The sequence below is a fragment of the Homo sapiens genome, chromosome 4 (genome assembly GCF_000001405.40).
Source record: "Homo sapiens chromosome 4, GRCh38.p14 Primary Assembly".
Taxonomy (NCBI): Eukaryota; Metazoa; Chordata; class Mammalia; order Primates; family Hominidae; genus Homo; species Homo sapiens.
In genome coordinates, this window is record NC_000004.12 from 118,509,774 (window position 1) to 118,511,971 (window position 2,198).

Below are 2,198 nucleotides of genomic sequence, written 5' to 3' on the forward strand. Positions count from 1 at the left end.
GATAATATAGCAAGGTGAGGTTTAATTATGGGTTTGTATGACAAGTTAATGTGACTAAATGAAATAGTCTTTCATGAGACTCAGATATGACCAGGCTGCATGATTTTGTTTTCTTATTTTTCTCCTTTAGGAAGGCACATCTTCATCTGGAAGCAAACGCTGGGTTTCACAGTGGGCTAGTTTGGCTGCCAATCATACAAGGCATGATCAAGAAGAAAGGATAATGGAATTTTCTGCACCTCTTCCTTTAGAGAATGGTATTCTCTTTCTCTCTTTCATTCTTTATCCCTTTTTTCTTCTCTTTCTCCATTTCTCTCTCTTTCTCTTACTCTTCTCTGCTTTTTTGTGAATCATATATCAGTTGTTATTATAAAAAACAAGCCAAATCTATATAGTAAGAAGTTAAACCTAAATAAACATATTCACATATTCTCATGCTGATAAATGAATTTATTTTATAAGTAAAAGGCTGATTTTTATTAGATATTGTATATTTTGGGGGATTTTAAGCAGGGGACAAATTCAAAGTGATAAAACTCTTTTTTGAGAAATTTAGTGGACTTCGTAAGTTGAGACTTCCTAAGGACAGGTGGACAGACACCAGCTTGGATTTAATATTTCATTCCGAGGCACTTTTCATTTTAGTTGTAAATTTCTGCTGTTGAAAATAAGAATGGTTTTTAAATTTTGTCTTTACTTTTAAATGAAAATTCTTCCTACTCTTTCTGATATGCTGATATCTTAAGATATGATTTTGACTAATGATGCAGCTATTATTCAAGTATAATCTTAACTGAAGATAAGGAAATAATTTTTAGATGAAGCATATATAGGTGTGTGTATATATTACATATAAAGATGAAGCACATATATATTATATATATAAGTTAAAATTTAAAAATAAGCTGAAGACAGGTCCAAACGATTTCATTCATAAATACAACAGATATTTATTGAGTGCCTACTTCATGTGGTACATTTAGTGAAAAAGAAATTAATAATCTTACAAATCTATGTAGTATGATTTTTATTACCTTTTATATTTCTGTGAACAGAAATATAAAGGCTTTTTAAACAAAATGAAGTTGTGTACCTTCAAGGATTTCATTATTACTTTTTGTTCATTAGTTTTCTAATTAACAATAAGACCCTGAAAGGAGGATGAGGAGATGATGGTCAAAAGGTACAAAAATCTCAGTTAGACAGGTGGAAGAAGCTTTTTTTTTTCCTGAGGTCTACTGCACAGCATGGTGAATATAGTTAATAATATAGTATTGTACATTTTAGATGTTCTCATCACAAAAAGTGTTAACTCTTTGAGGTGATGAATATGCTAAGTAGCTTGATTTAATTATTTCACATTGTATTTATGGTCAACATTTTATACACCATAAACATATACAAATATAAATTGTCAACTTACAATAAAAAATTAAAAAACTTATCCAAGTTGAAAAATAAATACTCACTTATAGTTAAAAAGCAAAAAGACTCTCAATGAGATTTTGTATGTGGCTTTTATCTGTTTTCTTAATTTCATTCTGGTTGAAAATGGAAATTTGTTTTGTCTCAGGCTTGTGGCACCCCAAAAATCTGTTTTAAGAATTTTGTAAGTATTAGAAGTATTTGAGGAAGCTACATAGCAGTGTACTAGAAAAGCTACATCATTTATTTATATTAGAATCTAGAAGTTATTGATAGTATTACCAAAAATTCTTTTGAGGGAACAGAGTCATTTGGTTCATATAAACTGTGTTTAGGAAACAAAGAAACCAGACAGAAGGCTAGATAAATTTACCAAAGAATCTGTTATAAAATTATTAAGTATTATCTGTGAAAAGCAAAGTTCTATCCTTCTTTTAAAAAATAATAGACCACTTAGCTTTCATGATCTCATTTCTATGTCATCATATTTAAATGAACTTATTTACATAAGCTGATAAATCCACTTAAATAATAAAATGTTTTTGTTAAACATATTGAATGTATATGAGGAGGGGGCAGTATGAGAAATACTGGAAAAATACAAAAGGGTAAAGTAGCCATTACATTCTAGATGCTTCAGTTAGCACTAAGGAGATAAGATATATGAAAGAAGAAACAAAACAAGATATAACATGATTAATGACTAAATTAAAGTTAAATCTATCAGTTCAGTATGGATTTTCCTCCATCACATCCATTGTATTGATATGATA

General features: G+C 29.1%; 1 long non-coding RNA gene across 1 annotated transcript; it reads right to left on the minus strand.

Annotated features, from left to right (window-relative positions):
• Positions 1-429: 429 nt before the first annotated feature.
• Positions 430-1,739, minus strand: LOC124900767 (uncharacterized). The gene is made up of 2 exons (XR_007058246.1): positions 1,470-1,739; positions 430-658 (listed from the first exon to the last, which is right to left on the minus strand). It is a non-coding gene; the product is annotated as an uncharacterized LOC124900767 (long non-coding RNA).
• Positions 1,740-2,198: the final 459 nt, after the last annotated feature.